Source organism: Homo sapiens, chromosome 2 (assembly GCF_000001405.40).
Source record: "Homo sapiens chromosome 2, GRCh38.p14 Primary Assembly".
NCBI lineage: Eukaryota > Metazoa > Chordata > Mammalia > Primates > Hominidae > Homo > Homo sapiens.
Window position 1 is genome coordinate 176,096,736 of NC_000002.12, and position 23,352 is coordinate 176,120,087.

At 53.5% G+C, this 23,352-nt stretch overlaps 3 protein-coding genes across 4 annotated transcripts, besides 5 other annotated features; all 3 read left to right on the top strand.

The window, feature by feature from the left end:
- Window positions 207-790: an enhancer, noted in NCBI's record as "OCT4-NANOG-H3K27ac-H3K4me1 hESC enhancer chr2:176961670-176962253 (GRCh37/hg19 assembly coordinates)". NCBI's record gives its function as "activates a minimal SCP1, AML or CMV promoter by ChIP-STARR-seq in naive and primed H9 embryonic stem cells {active_cell/tissue: H9 hESC(naive and primed)}" and the evidence as "EXISTENCE:reporter gene assay evidence [ECO:0000049][PMID:30033119]".
- Window positions 791-1,373: an enhancer, noted in NCBI's record as "OCT4-H3K27ac-H3K4me1 hESC enhancer chr2:176962254-176962836 (GRCh37/hg19 assembly coordinates)". NCBI's record gives its function as "activates a minimal SCP1, AML or CMV promoter by ChIP-STARR-seq in primed H9 embryonic stem cells {active_cell/tissue: H9 hESC(primed)}" and the evidence as "EXISTENCE:reporter gene assay evidence [ECO:0000049][PMID:30033119]".
- Window positions 2,915-3,647: an enhancer, noted in NCBI's record as "H3K27ac-H3K4me1 hESC enhancer chr2:176964378-176965110 (GRCh37/hg19 assembly coordinates)". NCBI's record gives its function as "activates a minimal SCP1, AML or CMV promoter by ChIP-STARR-seq in primed H9 embryonic stem cells {active_cell/tissue: H9 hESC(primed)}" and the evidence as "EXISTENCE:reporter gene assay evidence [ECO:0000049][PMID:30033119]".
- HOXD12 (homeobox D12) lies at window positions 3,060-5,754 on the top strand. Its single transcript, NM_021193.4, has 2 exons — window positions 3,060-3,640; window positions 3,787-5,754. The coding sequence occupies exons 1-2, from the start codon at window positions 3,067-3,069 to the stop codon at window positions 4,023-4,025; spliced, it is 813 nt and encodes a 270-aa protein (NP_067016.3). The 5' UTR covers window positions 3,060-3,066; the 3' UTR covers window positions 4,026-5,754.
- Window positions 7,415-8,401: an enhancer, noted in NCBI's record as "H3K27ac-H3K4me1 hESC enhancer chr2:176968878-176969864 (GRCh37/hg19 assembly coordinates)". NCBI's record gives its function as "activates a minimal SCP1, AML or CMV promoter by ChIP-STARR-seq in naive H9 embryonic stem cells {active_cell/tissue: H9 hESC(naive)}" and the evidence as "EXISTENCE:reporter gene assay evidence [ECO:0000049][PMID:30033119]".
- On the top strand, window positions 10,545-18,944 carry HOXD11 (homeobox D11). Of its 2 annotated transcripts, XR_007073114.1 has the most exons (3): window positions 10,545-11,401; window positions 12,172-12,623; window positions 14,648-18,944. XR_007073114.1 is itself a non-coding variant. In NM_021192.3 (2 exons), the coding sequence occupies exons 1-2, from the start codon at window positions 10,621-10,623 to the stop codon at window positions 12,405-12,407; spliced, it is 1,017 nt and encodes a 338-aa protein (NP_067015.2). In that variant the 5' UTR covers window positions 10,545-10,620; the 3' UTR covers window positions 12,408-13,019. The 2 variants fall into 2 exon arrangements, 1 of the variants encoding a protein (NP_067015.2); NM_021192.3 differs by lacking the exon at window positions 14,648-18,944 and having other exon boundaries at window positions 12,172-13,019.
- Window positions 18,937-19,609: an enhancer, noted in NCBI's record as "H3K27ac-H3K4me1 hESC enhancer chr2:176980400-176981072 (GRCh37/hg19 assembly coordinates)". NCBI's record gives its function as "activates a minimal SCP1, AML or CMV promoter by ChIP-STARR-seq in primed H9 embryonic stem cells {active_cell/tissue: H9 hESC(primed)}" and the evidence as "EXISTENCE:reporter gene assay evidence [ECO:0000049][PMID:30033119]".
- Window positions 20,043-23,202, top strand: HOXD10 (homeobox D10). Its single transcript, NM_002148.4, has 2 exons — window positions 20,043-20,843; window positions 22,219-23,202. The coding sequence occupies exons 1-2, from the start codon at window positions 20,099-20,101 to the stop codon at window positions 22,494-22,496; spliced, it is 1,023 nt and encodes a 340-aa protein (NP_002139.2). The 5' UTR covers window positions 20,043-20,098; the 3' UTR covers window positions 22,497-23,202.

Sequence of the window (23,352 nt, forward strand, 5' to 3'; positions counted from 1 at the left end):
AGAGACCTAAGACTTGGAGCTACTTTCGTTTTCCCTGTCCCAGCTTGATTTCTTTCATATCTTACTGGCGACCGTGGACAGCTAACTTCGATTTTGAGGGGGAGGGACAGAGACAGAGAAACAGAGAGAGATATGATCGCGATTCAATCTTTGCAGAAGAAATAACCCGTGCACAAGGGGCCACACCATCCCCCACCTTACACTTCGGGAAGGGTCGTTACCGTTTTTGTGGTTTTTCTCAAAAGATGTGTTTTCATCAGAAACGGGCACATTTTTCCTTTCTCCTAATCGCCAACTTCCCCTCCATTTTTTGTGAGTCCCACACTCCGGAGCTTCACTCCATTTCCCCTGTCTATTTCTCGGGTTTCCCATCGTGGGTAGGGGAGATTGCCTCGAGGCTTTCCTTTCATCTCTAGTTTGCATGTCACTTCCCCCCCTCCCCCCGCCTTGGAGAAATGGTAGGTTTGCTGAAGATTAAAACTGTGCTCAAACGCTCTCTGGAGGAATTTGGATTGAGGGCTAAATCAATAACAGAAGAAGGCTTTGTTATTCATATGCATTCCCTTTATATTCCAAATTGCAGAGGGAGGAGAGGAACTGGTAAGTGGCCCAGGCACTGGGAGGGAGGCCCTCGGGGAACCCGGAAGGCTAAGGGGGCTTGGAGAGAGGCCTTTCCTTCGGTTGGAGACAGGCGGCAGGAGAGCTCCTCAGAAACCCGGCAGGTTTTTAGCGCCGCGGGTGGGGGAACGAGGTCCCCGTGTCGCGTGATTCAAGAGGCGAAGGAAGCATTGGAGCCGGGACTCACGGTCAGACAAAGGGGCGACTGCAGTGCTTCCCCGCCTCTGGCAGCCCCCTGGGTCCCTCTGGCTCCGCTGTCAGGGGCGGCCTTGCCGCCAAGATCTCCGGCTTTCGGAGGCGCTAGGCTGCGTCTGAAAGCGGGCTGGCGACCCCAGGGAGGCCGCACCGCCCTTCACTGTTGATCTTGACCGTGCGGCTGCGCCCCGATAGGCATGGAGCGCGCTCGCCATCTCCTGGGCATTGGGCGGCATTGGCAGAGCTCTCTATTCGCTCCTCAGCCAAATCCTGTTCCATTCTCTTAATCACCAGCCAAGCCACTCTCCCGCCACTACTTTCCACCCCGATCCTCCCTCGATCAGGTTCCCCAGCTCGCATAAGACTTTGCCTGCCAGACCTCGAAAGTCATAAACCCGGGGGATGAAGTGGGAAGACTGTCCAAGGAGCAATGGAGGGAACCTAGTTGTTCTTGTTTTTCCTGTTTTTCACTGAGTTCTTTTATGCCTTTAGTCCTGAGGCGCAAACAGCTGTTGTAGGGCTGCCTAAAGGTCCGAAAGAGACACCCCTCGGCTTGGAAATAACGAGGAATCGTCGTGCACTGAAACGTGAGGAGAGACTGCAGGGACCCCTGGAGCTGGAGCTTTCGGGAGTAACGAAGCTGCAGCTCCTCGAAAATAGGATGGGTTCCCCAAAATAAGAGCTCTTAGGGATCTGAGGCTTGTATTCCCTTGAGTATCTAGGAACTGGGATTGCAGTTTGTGCTTGCCCCCACCTCCCAAGAGAGGACGAGAGCGAGTGAGTCTCTATGCCTGGGCTCCTAAGGAAACTCTCTGGCAGAGCCAGAGGAGCCCCAGACATCCCCACCCCCCCGTCCTCACTCCCTCTCTCCCCCCCACCAGAGCAGGAGGAAGAGGCCGATTGCGTTCCCCAGAGCCACCCAATTGGTCGCCATAACTCACACAATAAAGTGGCAGCGCGGCGGTCAGTCTTGCCCTCCGGCGGCGCCTGTGTGGTCTCAGTGCAGGAGCCCGCGATCTAACCAATTCCAGCTTGGCTCGGAGACCGAGGGTCCTGCTGCAGGCTGAGACTGGCGCCGGTCACCGGGTCTCCCAGGGTCTTGGGATCAGAGGCAGGAGGGGAGGACCCCTAGTCCTCTGGCCGGACTAGGCAAGAGGGCCAGCGACGGGGTCTGAGCACACCGCTCCCGGCTAAGAACTGCTGCCTTTCCCACTTCCCTGTTTGTCAGACCCGTGAACTCCCTATCCCCGGCACCCCTGGGGGCGCTGAGGCAAGGAACTCTGCTAGCCAGCTGCCTCCGAACGCCCGCTGTTCCCCGGCCAGGTGGTTCTGGCTCTTCTGCCTTTCCACACCCAGTCGGGGGAGTTCGTCCTGCTTTGCCCTCCACTTGGTGGATGGGGACACCTCGGAGTTCTGGTTTGCAGTGTGTAGTCCTGGAGAGGACTCCTGAAGATAAAAGGAATGTAGCCTTTGGCCACGATTGGTGGATCGAGCTGATGGGTTCCCTGGCGGACATTCTCCATGGACCTGTATGGCAATTTCCCTATGATCAGAGTTCTTAGCCATGGGGACACAAACCAGAAATAGTGTGGCCTCCTTCCTGGATCCCAAAATTGGGTAGTTTGTGATGCCCTTTTTGTGTCTGCGGCCTGGGACTGAGGGCTCAAGTAGCGAATGGGTCTTTGCTGCCAGATCCTCAGGCAGAGGTCTCTGGAGAAACCCTCTCTGTGGGAGTGATTGGGGTAAAAGTGACATTGCTCAGGCCAAGGGACAGAGCTCCTGGTGCCGCCGGACCGCGCCCTCTCCGGATAAGTCGAGAGGCGCCGGTTAATGGAAAATGCCTCCGCTGCAACTTAAAGCCGGTAGAAGCAAGCCGGGCCCAGAAAGCCTGCGGAAAACGAATCGCAAAGCCAATCACGACCAAGAAGAGTCCCAGGGGACACTTGGGCAGAGTCACCCTCTTGCCCGATGTCCCCAGCTGCTGAAGCCGGGCCTGGAAACCCGCAGACAGTTAGTCTTCGCTCAACCTGATTTGGCTCTGCTGGCAGCCTCGTCCTTCGCCATCGAACATTGCGGGTGTTATCATAATACTCTGAAGGGGGGGAAAACGGGTCGGGGGGATGTAGGCGGTGCTGAAATGACCGGCTTTGAAGAACCTGCAGGCAAAGTTTCGTCCAATCGTCTGAGCCTGTCCTCTTATTCCCGGTTGTAACTAAATACTGTTGCGAGCGCAGCCGAAGCCCTTTGTTGGAGATGTGTGAGCGCAGTCTCTACAGAGCGGGCTATGTGGGCTCGCTTCTGAATCTGCAGTCGCCAGACTCTTTCTACTTCTCCAACCTGAGGCCGAATGGCGGCCAGTTGGCCGCGCTTCCCCCTATCTCCTACCCGCGCGGCGCGCTGCCCTGGGCCGCCACGCCCGCCTCCTGCGCCCCCGCGCAGCCTGCGGGCGCCACTGCCTTCGGCGGCTTCTCGCAGCCCTACCTGGCTGGCTCCGGGCCTCTCGGCCTGCAGCCCCCAACAGCCAAAGACGGACCCGAAGAGCAGGCTAAGTTCTATGCGCCCGAAGCGGCCGCTGGGCCAGAGGAGCGCGGTCGTACCCGGCCGTCCTTCGCCCCCGAGTCTAGCCTGGCTCCTGCAGTGGCTGCTCTCAAAGCGGCCAAGTATGACTACGCTGGTGTGGGTCGTGCCACGCCGGGCTCCACGACCCTGCTCCAGGGGGCTCCCTGCGCCCCTGGCTTCAAGGACGACACCAAGGGCCCGCTCAACTTGAACATGACAGTGCAGGCGGCGGGCGTTGCCTCTTGCCTGCGACCTTCACTGCCCGACGGTAAACGGTGCCCATGCTCCCCGGGCCGGTTTGGGCCGGGATGGGAGGTGGGGTTCAAGGGAGAGTGTAAGGGGAGGTGAACCGCCTGGGGGCGGGCAATAGACAGAGTACGGGCTGGGTTGACGTGGGTTGGGGCTGTGTTGCAGGCCTGCCGTGGGGGGCGGCCCCGGGGAGGGCCCGCAAGAAGCGGAAACCCTACACGAAGCAGCAGATTGCGGAGTTGGAGAACGAATTCCTCGTCAACGAATTCATCAACAGGCAGAAACGCAAGGAATTGTCCAATAGGCTGAACCTCAGCGACCAGCAAGTCAAAATCTGGTTCCAGAACAGGCGTATGAAGAAGAAGCGCGTGGTGCTTCGGGAGCAGGCGCTGGCGCTCTACTAGCCGCGCGCGTGGCCAGGGCCGGGTTGGATCTGCCCTTTTGGACAGAGGCCTTGTTTGGGGAGGGGGATCTGGGGCTAAGGCTAAGGCTTTTCCTTCGGTTCCTTCTCTGCTGGCCCCAGAAGCCACCAAGAGATTTACAGACCAGGCCAGTTGGGCCTCCTTGCTTTCCTCAGTCCCTGAGAAGCCCGTGAGAAACGTGCGGAAGTACCAGTGCAACTCTGGCTGGCCTTAAGGCTTCCACGTTGGGGGACTGAGGCCAACTCTCCTTGCTCCTGGCTGGGGCATTTGCACCCACCGCTCATTCTTGCTCCCCGGTACCTGGATTTTTCTGTTTCCACCCAATTCGTTCTCCCTTTCCCCCTCTCTCCAGCCCCTTCAGCGTATAGCAGTCGCCTAGTTAGGGCTCAGAGTGGAAGGCCTCCTGAGGGAATGGAAAGGACTGTGGGTACAATTAGGTCTCTGCAGCAGAAGCCCTTTGTGGCAAGGCCAGGATCTTCACTCTGGAGAAAGGAAAGGGCACCATCCACCCTCCACCCTCCTGTCTGCCCTGGCTGATTTGAGAGAACAAAAGCCACACTAGATCTTCAGACTTTGGGAGGAAAAGGGAGGGAAGGGGAGGGGCTGGGTAGTGGGGTAAACTTGGAGATATCTCGAAATGAGAAATGCGAAATAGGCTGGCCTATTTCCAGCTGGGTAGAATATGTGGAACCTTCATTTCCTGAGATGGGATGAGAGAGACTGGGACTCCAGACAAGTGCCATCTCCAGACAAGACTGGCAAACATTGCCCTACTCCCACCTTCTCAAACATGCCTAGGCCAGGCCTATGAACCCTGTAACTGGATCCCCAGAGGCTAGCTCTGGTGAAAGGAGCTGTTGGTCTGCTTTGAAGCTCTGTTGCACAGGGAGAGGGAAAAATATCCAGGGGAGGAGAAGGGAGTGAATAAGAGGAGGAGGGGTGCTGCACTCCAACTGTAAATATGGCTTTCCAGTTGAGGTGAGTAAAGGTGTTGGTGCATCTTTCTTTCTTCAATTACCTTAATGGAACCCCATAAGGATAGGCAAAAATCCTTCTCAAGAGTCAAGGGGAGGGGAAGGAAGTCTCTTAGATTCTCTGCCCCGCTAGCTGCTCTTGACAAAGCAAAGAGGACCAGAAGTTCCTCTCACCGTCTCTACCATCTGCCAACTCTACCAGAGGCCCAGCTACTGTGCCCCTTCTGAGGCATGTCTGGCCTGTCCCAGTGGAGACTTTAAGGCCCTGGGCCCTGCCAGGCTTGCCTCATGGAGGCAGGGGTTCCCAAATGCCAGGTGGAGTTGTTCTGGGTGTACTGGAGTGTCCCGCCTTAATCTCAGTGAACCAAGCCTCCCCCTGCGAGCTCATTCCACTATCCCTGCCTCTTCTCCCCTCTCCTTCTGACATGTAGCACTCCTCCTTCGCAATTCCTAGCATGATGCACAACAACTCAAGGATTCAGGATTCCTTCCCAAAGTCCAGTGATTTCTTTTCAGTGCAGGACCTGGCCCTAAATCTGGAGTGGGCCCCTCACAGAGAGCCCTGAGCCTTAGCCCAACTGACTTCAGTTGATATTTAAACTAATTTCATTTTCTAGGCTATCTAATAGTTATCATGCATGTTTTGTTTTGATTTTGTCAAAAACAGTAGCTTGTATATATCAGACACAATATATACAAATGTTTTGAGTGAAAATAAATATCCAGGTCTGAGCCAAGCTGTCAAGGAGCTGAAGTCAATTTTTCAAAATGTTTTGGATTCCACCTTAATGTTTTTCAGGCCACCAAATTCGTTTTTCTTTTCTGGTTATTGTTTCACCGCGAGTGTTGACTGTTCGTTAAATGAGAAAATGGCTTCCGAGGCAGTCAGGAAATGGTGTGTAAAAGCCTACAAACCAAATATGTTTGGAATATCCAAAAGGGAAGGACCATGGCAGATCTGAGTGTGTCTCACACATTAAGGGGACTCTCAGCTTGTTGCAAGCTGGGACTTCCACACTTAGCCTAAATTCTCAAATTTTAAAGCTTGCTGGTATTCGGGGTCTGTAAAGATTTGAGGTTCTTCAGATGTCAAAACAAAACGTCTGTCTCCACCGAATTTTGGTCTGACTTCTCTGGAACCGGCTATGTCCTGCTAAATCCTTGATACCAGCAGGTTTACCAGGCGCCCAGCAGACTCCCTTGGGAAATGGGGCCTCAAAACTCCCTAGTCCATCTGAACCTCTAGCTTAGTCCAGGAAATTCAGGGCCTGCTTGCTACTCATTTTCTTGCAAAAACAAGCTCCTAGCTGGTGGAGGTGGAAACTAGCTTTTAGCTAGAGGAAGAATTAGCAAAACCACTAAATCACTAACACTGAATATTCAACATTTCAACTCCCTTTCCCAGAAGCAAATTTGGTGTATAATTGAAATTTTTAATTGTTCTTTAATTGTATACACACACACAACTATATATACCTATATGTATATATATTCAATAGGAGAGAAAGAAGCAAGAGCTGCCAAGGCCCTATGGCTCAAAAGGATTCTCCACCTGGCTGGGCACATAGAGGCGATGGTACCCAGAGCAGGATCTCCAAGTCTGAGTCTGCATTCAGAGGTTTGCCTCCTCAAAAACAACTGAACAAAGGCTGAAGCCGCACTGAGCGCTCGGAAGGCTGGGGAAAGGAGGAGGAAAGCATATGAACTCAGATCCAGGCCTTAAGACAGAAAACACGGAGGCCGTTTCTTTCCAAAATATATCATTAAATCATCGTGTTCTTTCCCTTTAGCCTGGGATGAGTGGGGGGAGGGGATATTCATGGAGATCACTCCTCAAAGAAAATTAAATTATTCTAAATATAAAAGCGTATCTCTTGGTTCAGCAGTCTTTTCCAAATCTATCCCGTTTGCTATTTCACACAAATACAAAGACTCTGGTGTCTCCTTCCATAGCCCGGGTTCCCGCAGAGATTTGGAACCACTAGGAAATTTGTTAAAAAAAAAAAAAAAAAAAAAAAGCCGAAGAGAAAGGACGCTAAAATCTGAGTGCTCAACATTCCCTTCAGAAAGACAAATGTGTCCTCTGAAATGCTGCAGTCCAAGCGGGCCTCTTGACCAAGAAAACAGTTTTAAAACGAGAAAAAAACAGCTTCATCTGGCATTCAATCAGTTGGGAACTCAGAGGGCGGCGGGGAAGGGGGGACGCTTTTAAGGCCTGGGGGTTCTCCCCCAGGGAGGCGGGCTGAGGAGGCTTCCGGGATGCCGGCGGGTGGAAGAGAAATCTGGAACCGTTGTAAATATTCATGTGGGGGGATGCCCCTTCACCCTTCACCCGCCTCTCCCAGCTGCATTCCCCCCTCAGTGATAGTGGGGGAGGGCAAGGCGACTGCCCCACTGTCCTTAGACAAAGGTGATCTCCCCATATTTTTGTTCTCCAGTCGCTTGACTTAAGAAGTCCATTCCGAAGGCTCTGTAGGGAAGGAACTGGCTCTGGGTGTTTTCCCTGCATTTCTCTTCTTTCGTTTCTTAAAAGAGCATAAATAATTAAAGTTTGGCAGGGAGGAAAAGCTTTCTTGCAGAACTGTAGTGGCAATAAATGAAATGACTCAGAATCCCTTCCCCAGTCAGCTTTTACGAGAGCTGCCAGACAGTGTCTGTTCACGTTCTCCAGATACCAGGGGCGCCCTGACAAAGTTAAGGTCAAGTTAGTGTCTTATCTTGGGTGACTCAAAATCACCGCATCGCGTCCTGGCGCTGTGCGGAAAGCTCTTTCTCGCGGAGCGGCTGGCTGCGCCCCGAAGGCCTGGTGCGCTCCCTGCGTTTCGGGTGGGGCCGCGCAGGCAAGGACAAGGCCACAGAGTCGGGGTCTTCACGGTAGGTTCTCGAGCGGGACGCGCGGGTCCGGAGGCTGCGGTTTTCCCTGGGTTTGGGGAATGGGGGTAGGAACTAGGAGGGAGCTGGGGCCAAAGAGCCAAGCGGGCTGGGACTGGAATGAAAGCGCTCTGGGTTGTGGAGTGGGTCGGGGGGCAAGGGTCCGCGCTAAGGAGCCGAAAGGGGCCGGCCGCCCCCTTCCCCTATGCACCGGCGCGCCACTGCAGATGGCTCACCCTCCCCCGCCAAATCGCTGCTCCCGCCGGAGCTGCCGTCGCCATGTCGTTGAACTTGAATGGTTCGTCCTCCCCTTTTCCCTCTTCGGCGGTCAGCAGGCTCCATACTGGGGGCGCCGGGCTGCCTGCACCCCACCCCGTGCCGCCAGTAGAGAGAAGGTGCGAGAATTTTGCGAATCCCCAGACACATAAAGACCCGGGTTGAAGTCCTCGCAGCTGCCCTGGGTCCTGAGCTACCGCAGGGCCAGTGTGCAGCGTCCAGGGAGCCATTTTAGGAGAGAGATCCAGGGGCGTCGACCACGAGCCCGAAAGGGAGAGGCTTGGGCCTGGGATGGAGATGGGGAGGCAGATAAGTGTGCTGGGGGTCTGGGTTGAGGAGAAGAATGTCAGCTGGAATCTGGGCGGGGGTGCCAGCTGCGGGGAGGGAGCACACAAGATGGGCAGTTCTAGTTGGGGGAGGCTCGATGCCCTCCAGTCGCCACAGACCTATTTGCGCAGTGTTGGGGGAGGGAAGAAGACATGGGAAGGGGCGGAGGAAGGAGAGAGGAAGGGAGAAAGGGAGGGAGGAGAAAAAGAGGAAGGGGGGGTACATCAGCCAGAAAATAGATATTAGCTCAGACCACCCGCCTTTTCTCTGTCTGTCCGCACGGTGGGCAGAGCGCACAGCACCGGCACTGCAGCAGCCCGGGCCAGGGAGGGAACCAGCATCACAGCCAGCGCCGCCTGCCCTGGGTATAGGACTGAGGCCCAGGCCCCAGCGCTGGGATTGCCTGGGCGGAGGAATCTTGGGGAAAGGGGCAGCCTCCTGCCCTCGGTTCTGGGATTTGGGTTTGGGAAGAGACGGTTTACCTTTGAAAAGCGTCTGCTCACTCGGAGGTGGGATCCCAGGCCTTGCCTGGACCCATGGGCTAGGAGAGGGTCGCGGCAGGCTGGGAGGAGAGTGAGGCCTTGGGGGAGTGGATGGGGTGCCCCACGAAGAGTCTGCCTCAGAGCCAGGTGACACAGAGGGGCTCCAGGAGGGAGTCAGGCTCCGCTGAGAGCCCTTAGAGAGACAACCTATCTTGGGGGAGGGGCTGAAGTGACCATGCAGACCCAAGGGTACCAGAAGAGCCTCGGGGAAACGCGGCGTGGATTCGCAGGCCTTGGCGGGGCTCCGAAGCAGTGAAGGGTCTAGGTATAAGGCGGACACCCAGGCTAGGCCTGAAAGCAGAGGGGTGAGGAGGACGAAGGTGCGAGTGTGTGGGGGTTGTCTCTTGTGGGGAGCCAGCGGGAAGCCAAGCACCCTAAGAGTAGGACTCCAGATCCTTTTGTTCACCAGACTCCCCAGATTCTAGGGAGGCTGGGGACCACGGGCTGAGCCCCCTCCTGGCTTCAGTGCTGAAGGAGAAGGCAGAGAGGCAACGGGGAGAGAGACAGAGACAGTGACACACAGCTTAGAGGAAAGGAGGGGAGAGGATGAGAGGACAGAGAGAGAGAGGAGAAGGGAGACAGGAAAGCAAGAGGAAGGAAGAAGGAAAGCGGAAAAGAAGAGGAAGGAGAGAAGTGAAGACAGGAGAGAGAAGGGAGAAGACTGAAGAGAAACGAGGCAAGGAGAAAGAGAGACAAGAACAGAGAGGGAAACCAGAGAGAAGGGAAGAGAGCCGGGTGGGCACGAAGGCCCCGGCCTGGGTGAGTGCCTAGGTGGTGAATGGCCTGGGTTTTTCCGAGGCCAGCACTCGCACCCTTGGGGTCAGAACCGGAAAGAGCCAAGTCACTCCACTCTGAACGCGCTGGGCAGAAAAATATGTAAATCAGGGCTCCCTGCGCCCTGGAGAGTGGCGAAATTACTCCCGCCCGGTGAACAAGAAGCAACAAGCTCCCAGGCGGGTGAGCTGCAGAGGGTGGCAGAGTCGCGGGGGAGGGAGCGGCTGCAGTAAGGGGGGTGGGGTTCGGAACCTCACACCCTCACACCTAGTTCCTAGCTTCTAGGGAGCCTGGAGCCGGGGCTTCCCCCCCTCTGCTCGCTGCTTCTCTCCCTTCCCCCTTCCTCCCCCTCTTCCCCCTCCTTCCTCCTCCCCGCCGGCCTCGGTCCGCGTACTTAAAGCGGCGCGGGAGGGCGGACGCGGGCGGGCGGCCCGTTCGGGCGGTGGCAGATGCGCCCAGCGGTGACAGCGGCCAGCGGCGCGCAGGTGACCGGCCTGAGGCGCAGCCTGGTCAGGGAGCGCCCGGGGAGAGCTGGCGGCAGAGGGCAGCCGATCCGCCCCCAGCGCGCGCGTCTCGGCGCCAGGAGCCGTCCCGGGGCGTGTTGGCGAGCGTTGATATAGATATAAGGACATTTCTCTTCATGGCGTCACGTGACATAATTACCACCAGAATCAATCAAGATGAATTGCACGTCAGCGCCCGGTGGGGATTTTTGCTTAGTTGATCCTGGCCCAAGCCTCTTGTGCAATCGATGGCTCAGGTTGGCTGCGCGGGGAGCGGCCAGAGGCTCGCTGGCGCGCACGCCGCGGAGTCATGAACGACTTTGACGAGTGCGGCCAGAGCGCAGCCAGCATGTACCTGCCGGGCTGCGCCTACTATGTGGCCCCGTCTGACTTCGCTAGCAAGCCTTCGTTCCTTTCCCAACCGTCGTCCTGCCAGATGACTTTCCCCTACTCTTCCAACCTGGCTCCGCACGTCCAGCCCGTGCGCGAAGTGGCCTTCCGCGACTACGGCCTGGAGCGCGCCAAGTGGCCGTACCGCGGCGGCGGCGGCGGCGGCAGCGCGGGGGGCGGCAGCAGCGGGGGCGGCCCCGGCGGGGGCGGCGGCGGCGCGGGGGGCTACGCTCCCTACTACGCGGCGGCGGCGGCGGCGGCTGCGGCGGCCGCGGCGGCCGAGGAGGCGGCCATGCAACGCGAGCTTCTCCCGCCCGCGGGCCGCCGGCCGGACGTGCTCTTCAAGGCGCCTGAGCCGGTGTGCGCTGCGCCGGGGCCGCCGCACGGCCCCGCGGGCGCCGCCTCCAACTTCTACAGCGCGGTGGGCCGCAATGGCATCTTGCCACAGGGCTTCGACCAGTTCTACGAGGCAGCGCCCGGGCCCCCGTTCGCCGGGCCGCAGCCCCCGCCGCCACCCGCGCCGCCACAGCCCGAGGGCGCAGCCGACAAGGGCGACCCCAGGACCGGGGCTGGTGGCGGCGGGGGCAGTCCCTGCACCAAGGCGACCCCTGGCTCGGAGCCCAAGGGGGCAGCAGAAGGCAGCGGTGGCGACGGCGAGGGCCCCCCGGGAGAGGCGGGGGCCGAGAAGAGCAGCAGCGCAGGTAGGCACCGGGTACTGGGCAAGCGGTGGGCCCGGGGGCCGCGGGGGAGGGGGGGGGGGCGGAGGCCTCCCTCTGCTTGCGCCTTTTTATGTGCTACTTTATAAGCATTCGAAGAGGTTTATACATCCTATAAGATTTCCTGGGCCGTTGTAAAGTGTGTTTATGGTAGGAAACCAATTTAGGTGGGCTTAAGGTAGACTTCGAGGAGGACATTAATAGCTGTCGAGAGCCTTTTCCCAGTTTTGGGCAGGGGGTTGCTAGATACCATGGAGGGAGGGAGGGAGGGAGATTTCAAGCCAGTGTGAGTGCATACACCGGAGCCTCCTGCTTTTAAGGGAGAGAGGCGGGGGGTGGGGAAGTGGGGGGAGTTTGATCCTTGCACTGGACTTTATCCAAGCCGCTAGCTGACGCGCGCCGCTGGAGTCAAGCAGATGCCCCGGCGGGCCTGCTCTTGTCTCTGTTCCCTCAGGTTCCAGTTTAGAGCCTGCCTTGCCCTCTGCTTCCCCACCTCCGTGCCAGGCTCTGTGTGTGTGTGTGTGTGTGTGTGTGTGTGTGTGTGTGTCCGGGCGTGAACACATGTCCACGCCCGCACTCTCTCCTGTGCCCGCCCATATATCATCCCCCACGACGCAGGCAGGGCCTTTCGGCCGCGGCAGAGAACGTCCCCAACGGGGCCAGGGCCTGGCCCTCGCTCAGTGGCCCGGGCGGGCGGGCGGGTGGGGGCTGTCAGGCAGCGGCCTCTCTCACCCCCTGGTCTCTTTGCCTTGCAGTTGCCCCCCAGCGGTCCCGGAAAAAGCGCTGTCCCTATACCAAGTACCAGATCCGCGAACTGGAACGCGAGTTTTTCTTTAACGTGTACATAAACAAAGAGAAAAGACTTCAACTCTCTCGGATGCTCAACCTCACTGACCGGCAAGTCAAAATCTGGTTCCAGAATCGCAGGATGAAAGAAAAGAAACTGAACAGAGACCGTCTGCAGTATTTCACTGGAAACCCCTTATTTTGAGAGCTCCAGGAAGCGCCCTCACCCCAGCCCCACTCACCCACCCTCCTTCCCACCAGCCTGCTCTCCGCAGGCCCACTGTCCTTGGGTTTAATGACGTCTCTTCTCTGTGGAACTTCACGATTCCTTCCCACGGTCAACTCGGGACCTCCCAGCGACCACTGCAGCCTGCGGACGAGGCCGGGACTTGGCCGAGCGGATCCTAATAAGGGGAAAATGGTAAATGCAAACGTCCCGTTACAATTTTACCGCCAGTGTGCTGTCGTTCCCCCTCCCCCTCTCCGAGTCCTCGTGGGGACACGGCGGGGTCTGTAGGAAGTTGGGCCGGGTTGGGGGTTGCTAGAAGGCGCTGGTGTTTTGCTCTGAGTTTTAAGAGATCCCTTCCTTCCTCTTCGGTGAATGCAGGTTATTTAAACTTTGGGAAATGTACTTTTAGTCTGTCATATCAAGGCATGAGTCACTGTCTTTTTTTGTGTGAATAAATGGTTTCTAGTAAAATGGAGGTTACAGCTTCAATACACTGTATGAATTCTCCTCTTTGAGGTTTAGTGCCTCCTTAGGATATTTTAGTGGCCAGAACCCATGCAACTGAAAATCGAATGAAATACTTTTTAGTCCCACTAAAATAGTAGTCGTACCCTCCCACCACCTCTAGGTTACACTGGTTTTAAAAATCATGTTAGTGATGAATTTCTGAATTGACGATGTGACCAAGCAATGCTGGCGCTGCCTTCTCCAGGCAGTAAGGCTGGGGCAGCAGGAACCTAAGAAGAAAACTCCCACCCCCACCACTAGTCTAGTGAACTTGGGATTTCTGAAAAGACAGCAACCATTTTTAAAAACTGGTTAGAAAATCCAAATGATCTCTTACAAGCTAACAAGGAGTCACAGTCCCTTAAAAAAGAAGAAACCAAAATTAGAAACTTCCATTGAAGGGAGAAGTTTTCGAAAAGGAAGTCATCAGTAGGTGGAGAGGGCTTGCTGGTGTCATAAGTGGACCTGGAGTAGGGAAGGTAAACCCTCCCCGCCCCCACTGAAATAGGGCCAGGAGCTGCAGACCCTCTCACGGCATTTATCGCTTCAAGTTAAAGAATGTGGTGAGGGCTCTACTGCACTTTATGTTGCAGGGCCAGGCCAGGCTGTTTACAAAACCTTGAACTGTCTAGACAACACCATAAAAGCCAAAGTTCTAAACAGCTTAATTGGGTTATATTATACACCTTCTGGTGGGCCCAAAAGAGATTTCCGCAATGTGCAATAAACTGGAGAAGTGAGAAAAGCTCTCTCTCTGAAAAGAGTGAAGTGAATCTTATGAGTCTTAACCTCTCCTAAGCCCAAAGACAAAATATAAATCTATAAATGCACAGTACCCCATGCATCTTCCAAGGAGTCATGCACTTCAAAATGCAATTAAAAAAATTGCTAAGCCTTATTTGGGAAGGAAAAAATAAGTGCATAAATGTATGCCTTTGAACTTCCAAAATGTCAAGGTCATCACCTTTAACCTTTCTGAATAATTAGGCGCCTTAAGTTCTTCTTGATTTTCAGCTGCCACCCACTCTCACACATACATGCTCACACATATAGAGAGCCACACACACATTTATGACCACACAAAATCATACCAGGAGCTCACCATAAATCTAAGAAAATTCCTAATTTCAGGATCAATAACCTTAATTTCCCTGCAAACGTTTGTGTAATGCAATAGCAGTCAACTTCTTTTTAAAAATACTGATTAGATTAAAATGCCTTCTAGCTGCTTTCACTACAGCTAGGAAAGGCTGAGAATTCTGGCGGGGGGTCTTAAATAGTGGTCCCCTTTGCTTTAATGAAGAACTACAGTTTTAAAATCAAGCCTTTGAAAGAGGAAGTTCTGTGCAGCCTTACACCTTCATTAAATTTGAAAGCAATTTGCCACCCTGTGAAATAAATTATTGCACTTTCTACAATAAGGAACAAAAGGAAATATAGTTATAATGCTTTTAAAAGCATCCTTTGGTGAAAGATGCAATGGAAACAAAGCCTACAATCGAAAAATTTCGTTAAGAAGGGGATTCCTTTGGTATTCTAGACATCGGTTAAAATGTCAGTGCCCTAATAGTGTGATCGTTCCATGAGCTTAAAACTGTTTTTTTTCTTTCTGTTTCCATCTATTTTTTAAAACTGCATCTAAACGTAGCAAGCTTGTGTGCCCACCACCCAAGGCAAGCCGAACCCGAGATACCATTTTCCGTTTGCAGGGGCCTGGAGATCCACACGAGGGCGCGCTCACGTTCCAGAAGCCGCGTTTGACCAAGAGGCCGCGGTACCTTGTCTGTCCAACACTGGATTCTAATAGGCGACCTCAACCCCTTAGAAACAGGCGGCAGCTAAGGTGTTTGCTAGTTTATTTGTTCTAAGCAGCCATGAGGTGTGAGAAGTTGTATAGAGACAGAAAACGGAGCAACTAGATTCACGAAACAGCCTAATCTTTGTCTCTTTAAAGACAAAGCTGTTGCAAAAGAATACCTTGGTATAACCAGATGGTGTGGAGCAGAGTTTTAAAAGATAAATGTATGCATTTTGAAAGATACCATAGCCACTGCTGGTTAATTAAATTAGGGAAAATCAGTTTTCTTGGTTTCAGTGTGGAGAGCCTTGTCTAGGGTTGGACACCCCCTACTTAACATCCCCCTCCCCCCCGCAAAAAAAAAAAAAAAAAAAAAAACCTTCATCGGTTTTACCCCCTCTCAGACCTCCTGGGATGATTAAAAGGCTTTTGTTTATAACAGATCAGGGAGCGGGCCACTTAGCCAAATGTCTCTCAGAAAAAAATAAGACGCATGGGGGACTGGGAGAATCGTTCTGGGAGCCCGCGGCCGTGCCTGGAGTGCGCGGCTACCAGTGGCGACCGAGTGGCGCCGGCAGGACTGTGAGTTGGTGTGCCCAGGCCGGGCTGGGCTGATGCGGACACGGGAGGCAGCAGGCACTCGGGGGAAACGTTTATACTTCAAGGCGTTGTAAAACGGGGAATGTATTTGAAGCAAACGGGCTTTGCGTTTGACAGAAAACTGGCCACCCTTCCAAGCTGCACGCCGGTCTTGAGCAGAGTTGAATTGTGGCTCTCAGAAGCAGTGCATTCGTTGCGTGCCCTCCTTCCTCCAGCAAAGCCCCTGACCTTGGGGAGGGCCTGTGTCCCCGTTCGGAGTTCACAAGAGAGGAGACAGGGCTCCCCGACATTGGCCTCTCTAAGGGAGGATGACTGCCCCCTTTCCCTCCCCGAAGTTCATTGTGAAGAGCCTGCAACCCCCAGAATTAGCGCTGGCCTTGTTGGCCCTCCAAGCCCTGGACCAAAGGCCCTGGGGCCTGCCGCTTGCCCCTCTCCCGGAGCTGGCCTCAGCTTTGGTGGGGAGGCCGGGGCTCCAGTGAGCCCCCCGGCGAGGCTCCAACGAGTGGCGTGGGTGTTCCCCGCAGGCAACCTTGGCTCCACTAGTCTGACCGCCGGTCCACCTTGTCTATAGTGACGCTACCTTTCCCGAGGCTGAACGGGGTCCTCGGTCTATGTGAAGTGAGAGCTGCCCTCCCTAAATGTCGTTGTCCTCTCAAGGCGGCCCCAGCGGCTGCACATCTGGCTGTGCGGGGGCCCCTTGGACTTGGCTGGCAGCCGCCTGCGAAACACCGCTTCTCAGCGGTCTGCAGTTCCTTTCCTCCCTGCGCCCAAGATGGGCCTGACAAGGGCCCGGGATCAGACCAGAACCTCTGGGGGCTGAAGACCTCTCCCCACCCCCATCTTACAAAGTGTGTGGGGCTTGCGGAGAGTGGCCTTGGATCCTAAGGCGCCAAGGTCTCAGACTCTGAAGTGGAAGGGAAATGCGCGAAGTAGGAGTCTTTTGTGTCTGTGCAGAAGGAGGTTCTCCGGCCGCCGGCCCTTGTTGCACGTCTGGATAGACCCCTTATTGCATTGGTGGTAGACTCCCCATTTGCCCCCTAGATTTCCTTTCACCTTGGCTTGGAGGTGCACAGTGCAACCCGGAGGAGCGCCCGGGGAAGACAGCTTTTAATCGACTCCATCCGCTCTGTCCCCAAAGAGTGACACAGCCCAGAGGTGGCTCAGAACCCTAATCCGGGGTGACCCTAAGAGCCCACAGGTCCACTCAGGCCCAGGGCTTCAACTTTTCTTCCAGGAGACAAGAGTGCAGATGCAAGCCACTTTTTGATTACAAATGCTAATTTCTTGTTCAAGCTGTTCTTTTAATTTTTCCCTGGAAAGAACTGTGGCAGGGAGAAGGGCGTCTTGGTACAAATATGGGTATTCATCTCCTTTATGGTGCAATATTGATTTATTATTAATGGTAACTGCTCCAACTGATCTAAAGATGATGGAAAACATCAGCTACATTAAATACTCATAAGCAAAATAAAGGCTGGCCTGTAGAGCACGGCCTTTTTATTCCATTTGTCTCACCTCAGCCTTAGAGTCTTAGGCACACTTTCCATCCTTTGGGGCTCGGATCATTCTTTTGTATTATTTCTATCTTGCTCAATTTTTTAATGATAAAATATCTCAAAATATTGACAGTCTCTTGTCTCAAGGAGCGGGTCTGAAAGCAGAAATTTTAAAGATAAAAAATAGAATTTTGTGAGAACAGATTCAAAATTATGTCTGATATACACATTTTTGTCTGTGAGTAAAAACCTATTTAACTCTAACCAATAAGGGAGTGACTTTGAGCTCAAAGCCACTGAAAGCTGAAATGGAAAGGTCCCCAAATTCTGAAGACACATCCTGCCTATTCTGGCTCACTGCAGACCTACCCGCCCGCAAGGAATTGCTTGTTTTTAGCCTGTATGTTTTCTTCATGTATAAATAAAGATTATGAAAGGGCATTTGATGGGCATAAAATTCCCGATTAGATTAAACAGTCTTGCCTTTCTTAGGGTAGGGAAAATTGGGCAAACAAGTTCCCAGCAGCTCTTCTGGCCAAGAGGCAAAAGGGCGACACTCGATACTGCTGGAGCGCCAAGCTAGTGTCAGGGCGCCTGCGGCAAGCGAGTGCAGCGGGCACTTCATTCAGCTTTGGGCACGCTTAGCCCTGGCTTGAAACAAGATCTCTACTATGTGAGAAAGCAAATTTCAGGGCGCTGGTCAGTGGCTGTTAGCTTTGAACAGTACCTTAGCAACCTAGAGTCAAAAGTTATGTTTTGTCTTGTTTTGTTTTTCCGGCCATCCTCAACCCCCACCCCCAAGCTCGAAAACAGCCACCCCTGTGGAAAGGTAATGTTTAAACCCCAGGCTATGCTGGGATGCTGCAGCCAAAGCAGTTAGAGGCGCCAGGCTTTTAACCTGACAATGATGTTGTATTTGAACAGCTGCGTAAAGGTTTAAAAGGTCTGTCTCATTGCCACCGCGGAGTTTTTTAAAAGAGGTTATTGTTTGGGCGAGAGCACCGAGAGGGAACAGGCGAAAGGGTCCCAAGGCCGAAAATAATGTTCAACGCTTGTTTCAACCAGGCCAGGGGAGATTCCTTTTTGGGAAGAGGGACAAAGGGTTTTTTGGGAAAGGTTTTTGTAAAGGAGCGGGCGGGCTACTAGGTCCCCCAGAATGCTGAGGCGCTTTAATGAACCTCAGGCCCCAAAGAAATGTTCTATTGAGGTGGAAACCCAATTTACCCACAAGTTCAGTCTCTGGGCCTGAAATCCAAGGCCAGCCCATGCCCCAGCGAGTACGGGGAAAAGAGAACACAGATGCCCTCCCGGACTGAGAACTGGTTCATGGTCAGAGTTTCTGGGACCGCTTTAGTTTCTTGGCTGGCAGGAAGGGAACCTGGCAGGCCGAAGGACGGCTCCAAGCCCTGGCCGGCCCCTCACTCAGGGCAAGTCTTTGGAAATCAAGGTTAAAGCTCCCCGCTGCTGCCCCGAGGCCCGGGCTTCCGCAGGGCGGCTCACCCGCCTGCAGCAAGAGAGGGAGGGAGGAAGTTGTTGAAGTTTCTCATAAAACTCTGAGTTTCCATGGTGGTAGTGGTGGTAGTGGTGGTAGTGGTGGTAGTGGTGGTTCTTTAATGAGCCGGACCACAACCCCAGACCATATCCTCTTCATAGAAGTTTCCCTCACCAAAGGAAACAGAGAACTAAGATTCCCACCTCCTTCCCCTCCCTTACCCAAGCAAAGCCTTGTCAAATAATTTCAGAAATTGTCCAAAACTGTAAAACTCAACTTCTGACAAAAGTATAGCTTTTAATATTTGACAATTTGTATTAAAACAAAAATGACCTTCTTGGTTAGCAGCGAAGGGAAAAAAATCAATAGTATAATTTTCAATAATTCATAAAGCGAACGCCATTATGGTAAATTTAACTATTAATCTTATCCTTTACAAAGTCTCGATTGATTTGTTAATAAAGTATCTTCCCGTGTGTGGCAACAGCGGGCATAACTCTTTAAAAACCTTCAGAAGCAAGAAAATTACCAAGTAGCCCAAGAATGTAGATGAGAATTTTATTGATCGCCCTGATTCTTCTTAATATGTATTAATAAATTCCACAACCTTTTGTACCTTGCACTTGTCAGAAACCAGTGCTTTTACAAAATCCATAAAAGGAAAACATTTTTCTTTGCAGAAGAACCAAAATGACACCTTTGCATTTCTCTCTGTCCTTCTTGGCCCAGTCAGTTTTCTAAAACTTCTGGATTCTGAGGGTCAGAGTTTCCCCTTTTCTTAAATTATTTTTTCCTTTCTTCCTTCCTGTTTGCCCTCCATTATCAGGGTGTGGGGAGAGAAACCTCTGTTTAGTTCTCCTACAGGGAGCCCGAGGGACGCTTTCGCGGATAGTGAACTGCTGGCAAAGAATTGTCTCTGGGCTGAAAGCTCCCAGAGGTCCGGCCCCGCAGAGGTCAGGGTGTGGTTCCTCTGAGAGCCGAAGCCTCGTGTAGCCCTCCGGGGCGCATAGGAACCCGGAGCCAGGCAGGAGGACCGAGCGGGAGGACAACGCAGGGACCAACCCATCCATGGGGATCCGGGCCCGGCCAGCTGCTTGGCCTCCCGGCCCTCGCGGCCCTTTTTGCCTCCGCCCTCCTAGAGACACCTTGGCCGCTTCTTAGCCCCAAGGGATCTTTCCTTTGGACCCCTGGGGTGGGATGTCTCAGGGCCCGCGGAATCCGACTCACCTTCCCGCTGGGCTGCCCGGGACTAAATTAACCAGCCTGCGCCCCCACCCGCTTGTCCTGGACCCGGCCCTCTTAAGCGCGTTCTGCCTGGTTGTGTGTGGGGGGAATGCTTCTGTGCGCTGGCGCCAGGGCACTCTGGCTTCCCTCCCCGTCCGTGCGTGTCCACTTGGAGGCCCCTAGAGCTGAGACTTTCCTTCCGCCGGTTGGGCCCAGGGGCCGAAGCGGGGGACGCGAGTGGGGCGGGCTGGCCGAGCGAGCCCTGGAGAGGCGGACAGGAGGGCGGCGGAGAGCGCTGGGCCGGTTGTCTCCAGCGCGCACTATCGCGGGCGCGTAGTAGATGTCGCTGTTGTCCGTGCTTACCCGGCCGGCCGGCCAGGCTCTGGAGCACGTGACCCGAGAGGAGGCTGCGGCTCAAGGCCATTTTCAAATCTCATTGGCTTGGTTGTCATGTGGTCGGCAGAGGCATCCACAATTACACGGGGAATGTTTTCCTAGAGATGTCAGCCTACAAAGGACACAATCTCTCTTCTTCAAATTCTTCCCCAAAATGTCCTTTCCCAACAGCTCTCCTGCTGCTAATACTTTTTTAGTAGATTCCTTGATCAGTGCCTGCAGGAGTGACAGTTTTTATTCCAGCAGCGCCAGCATGTACATGCCACCACCTAGCGCAGACATGGGGACCTATGGAATGCAAACCTGTGGACTGCTCCCGTCTCTGGCCAAAAGAGAAGTGAACCACCAAAATATGGGTATGAATGTGCATCCTTATATACCTCAAGTAGACAGTTGGACAGATCCGAACAGATCTTGTCGAATAGAGCAACCTGTTACACAGCAAGTCCCCACTTGCTCCTTCACCACCAACATTAAGGAAGAATCCAATTGCTGCATGTATTCTGATAAGCGCAACAAACTCATTTCGGCCGAGGTCCCTTCGTACCAGAGGCTGGTCCCTGAGTCTTGTCCCGTTGAGAACCCTGAGGTTCCCGTCCCTGGATATTTTAGACTGAGTCAGACCTACGCCACCGGGAAAACCCAAGAGTACAATAATAGCCCCGAAGGCAGCTCCACTGTCATGCTCCAGCTCAACCCTCGTGGCGCGGCCAAGCCGCAGCTCTCCGCTGCCCAGCTGCAGATGGAAAAGAAGATGAACGAGCCCGTGAGCGGCCAGGAGCCCACCAAAGTCTCCCAGGTGGAGAGCCCCGAGGCCAAAGGCGGCCTTCCCGAAGAGAGGAGCTGCCTGGCTGAGGTCTCCGTGTCCAGTCCCGAAGTGCAGGAGAAGGAAAGCAAAGGTCGGTATGAGCAGAGTTGCCACCCCAGCGGGGCGCGCAGCCCGGGAACCCGGCAGAGAGGGAGTGCCGGGGTGCCCAGCGCCGAGCCGGAGCCCGACTTGGCAGGTGCTGCTCCGCCTGGTTTTAGAGGGGTGATCTCAGCCCTGAGATAGTCCCCGCTTCTCCCCTGCTGCCCTGGCCCTCTCCGCCAGTCCTGGCCCCACGCTGATGGCGCCCGGGCAGAGGAAAAGCTTGCCGGTTTTATTTTTCCTGAGCTAGACCTGAACACAACAAAAGAGCGCAAAGGAGACCTGCGGCTCATAAACACGACCACAGAGCCTCTTTTCTCCTGCTCAGATTTGCAGTTCCAGTTTTGCCTTGAGCCCAATGATCATGTTAAGGTGATCCAGGGCACCGTGTTCGTGTTCAAGTGTATGCACCCCGCATCCTGCGAGCTTGGGGGTGGTGAGGGGAAAGAGATGGCTGGGCTGGTTGGTGCTTGAGTTGGGAAACAGGGCTTACTGCCTTTGCTGGGCTAGGTAACCTTGGCTTTGTTTAGGAAAAGTGCTGCAGTCTTTGCAATCCGTCGGCAAAGAGGGCAAAGGCGGAGGGGGAGAGTGGAACCCGCATTGCCCTCCCTGCAAGGCCAGCCTTAGGGCTGGGCTAAGGCAAAGAGCCAGGGATCTGGCTTTTTGAGAAGGAACCCTCCTCCTCTCCCCCAGTGCTTAGAGGTGGGCCACAGTAGGGGGCTCCCTTTCTGGGGGAATGCTTTAGTGTGGGGGCAAGAAGACATGAAAATTAAGGAAATTCTGGGGAATGCAACAATACCCAGGCAAGGTGGGGGAAGGTGTCTCGCTTCCCCATTTATCTTTTGAAAGAGAATGGGCACCTATAAACCTGACTGTCAGGATTCCTGACTGCCTAGGAGAGGTGGGGAAGAAGTGGCAGATTTGGGGACCTGAGGCAGCAGTGGGGTTGGTAGGCTTGTCCAGGTCGTGGCGTATTCCCCTCCGTCCCTGTTAGGAGCTGAACCCTTAGAATGTTGCTGGGGAGATCTGGAAAGTTTACTATTCTACTAATGTTTTGTACAAGTGAGAAAGTTGAAAGAGAGAGCGAGAACCCAAATGCAGACTGTCCTGCCATCATGTCATTTAAGTAATGTGGCATCAATGTAAGATTCCCTTCCAAGGCCCACTTCATGTGAGTAATGTTTAATACTAGCATTTTCCAAAGCGGCCTGGCTGCCAGCAGGGTCACGGCCAAGGGTACATTTGAACAGTCTGAAGAAAAAAACAAAAACGAAAACCAAAACCAAAACCAAAACAAAAACAAAAACAAAAACAAACAAACAAAAAACCTCTTGATTTTTTTCTTCTTCTCCCTTTAATTTTGTTAGAGGAAATCAAGTCTGATACACCAACCAGCAATTGGCTCACTGCAAAGAGTGGCAGAAAGAAGAGGTGCCCTTACACTAAGCACCAAACGCTGGAATTAGAAAAAGAGTTCTTGTTCAATATGTACCTCACCCGCGAGCGCCGCCTAGAGATCAGTAAGAGCGTTAACCTCACCGACAGGCAGGTCAAGATTTGGTTTCAAAACCGCCGAATGAAACTCAAGAAGATGAGCCGAGAGAACCGGATCCGAGAACTGACCGCCAACCTCACGTTTTCTTAGGTCTGAGGCCGGTCTGAGGCCGGTCAGAGGCCAGGATTGGAGAGGGGGCACCGCGTTCCAGGGCCCAGTGCTGGAGGACTGGGAAAGCGGAAACAAAACCTTCACCGCTCTTTGTTTGTTGTTTTGTTGTATTTTGTTTTCCTGCTAGAATGTGACTTTGGGGTCATTATGTTCGTGCTGCAAGTGATCTGTAATCCCTATGAGTATATATATATATATATATATATATATATAAAAACTTAGCACGTGTAATTTATTATTTTTTCATCGTAATGCAGGGTAACTATTATTGCGCATTTTCATTTGGGTCTTAACTTATTGGAACTGTAGAGCATCCATCCATCCATCCATCCAGCAATGTGACTTTTTCATGTCTTTCCTAACACAAAAGGTCTATGTGTGTGGTTAGTCCATGAACTCATGGCATTTTGAATACATCCAGTACTTTAAAAATGACATATATATTTAAAAAAAAAAGATTAAGAAAACCCACAAGTTGGAGGGAGGGGGACTTAAAAAGCACATTACAATGTATCTTTTCACAAATGAATTTAGCAGTTGTCCTTGGTGAGATGGGATATTGGCGATTTATGCCTTGTAGCCTTTCCCTTGTGGTGCATCTGTGGTTTGGTAGAAGTACAACAGCAACCTGTCCTTTCTGTGCATGTTCTGGTCGCATGTATAATGCAATAAACTCTGGAAATGAGTTCACTCCCTCTGCTTTCTGAAATGGAAATATGTTATGGTGGAAATGAAAGCCTATGGTGAGATTATCTTCTGGTTACACTCCCTGTTTGGGGCATTTGGGCAGGGGAGTGATAGACTAGTAGGGGAAGGGAGATGGGGGAGAAAAGCT

Bases quoted from the DNA above. Each gene is read 5' to 3' on its own strand.
- HOXD12 (NM_021193.4), top strand. From the start codon at position 3,067: ATGTGTGAGCGCAGTCTCTACAGAGCGGGCTATGTGGGCTCGCTTCTG. The intron at 3,641-3,786 runs GTAAACGGTGCC...GCTGTGTTGCAG, and splicing joins GCGACCTTCACTGCCCGACG to GCCTGCCGTGGGGGGCGGCC.
- HOXD11 (NM_021192.3), top strand. From the start codon at position 10,621: ATGAACGACTTTGACGAGTGCGGCCAGAGCGCAGCCAGCATGTACCTG. The intron at 11,402-12,171 runs GTAGGCACCGGG...TTTGCCTTGCAG, and splicing joins CGAGAAGAGCAGCAGCGCAG to TTGCCCCCCAGCGGTCCCGG.
- HOXD10 (NM_002148.4), top strand. From the start codon at position 20,099: ATGTCCTTTCCCAACAGCTCTCCTGCTGCTAATACTTTTTTAGTAGAT. The intron at 20,844-22,218 runs GTCGGTATGAGC...TAATTTTGTTAG, and splicing joins GCAGGAGAAGGAAAGCAAAG to AGGAAATCAAGTCTGATACA.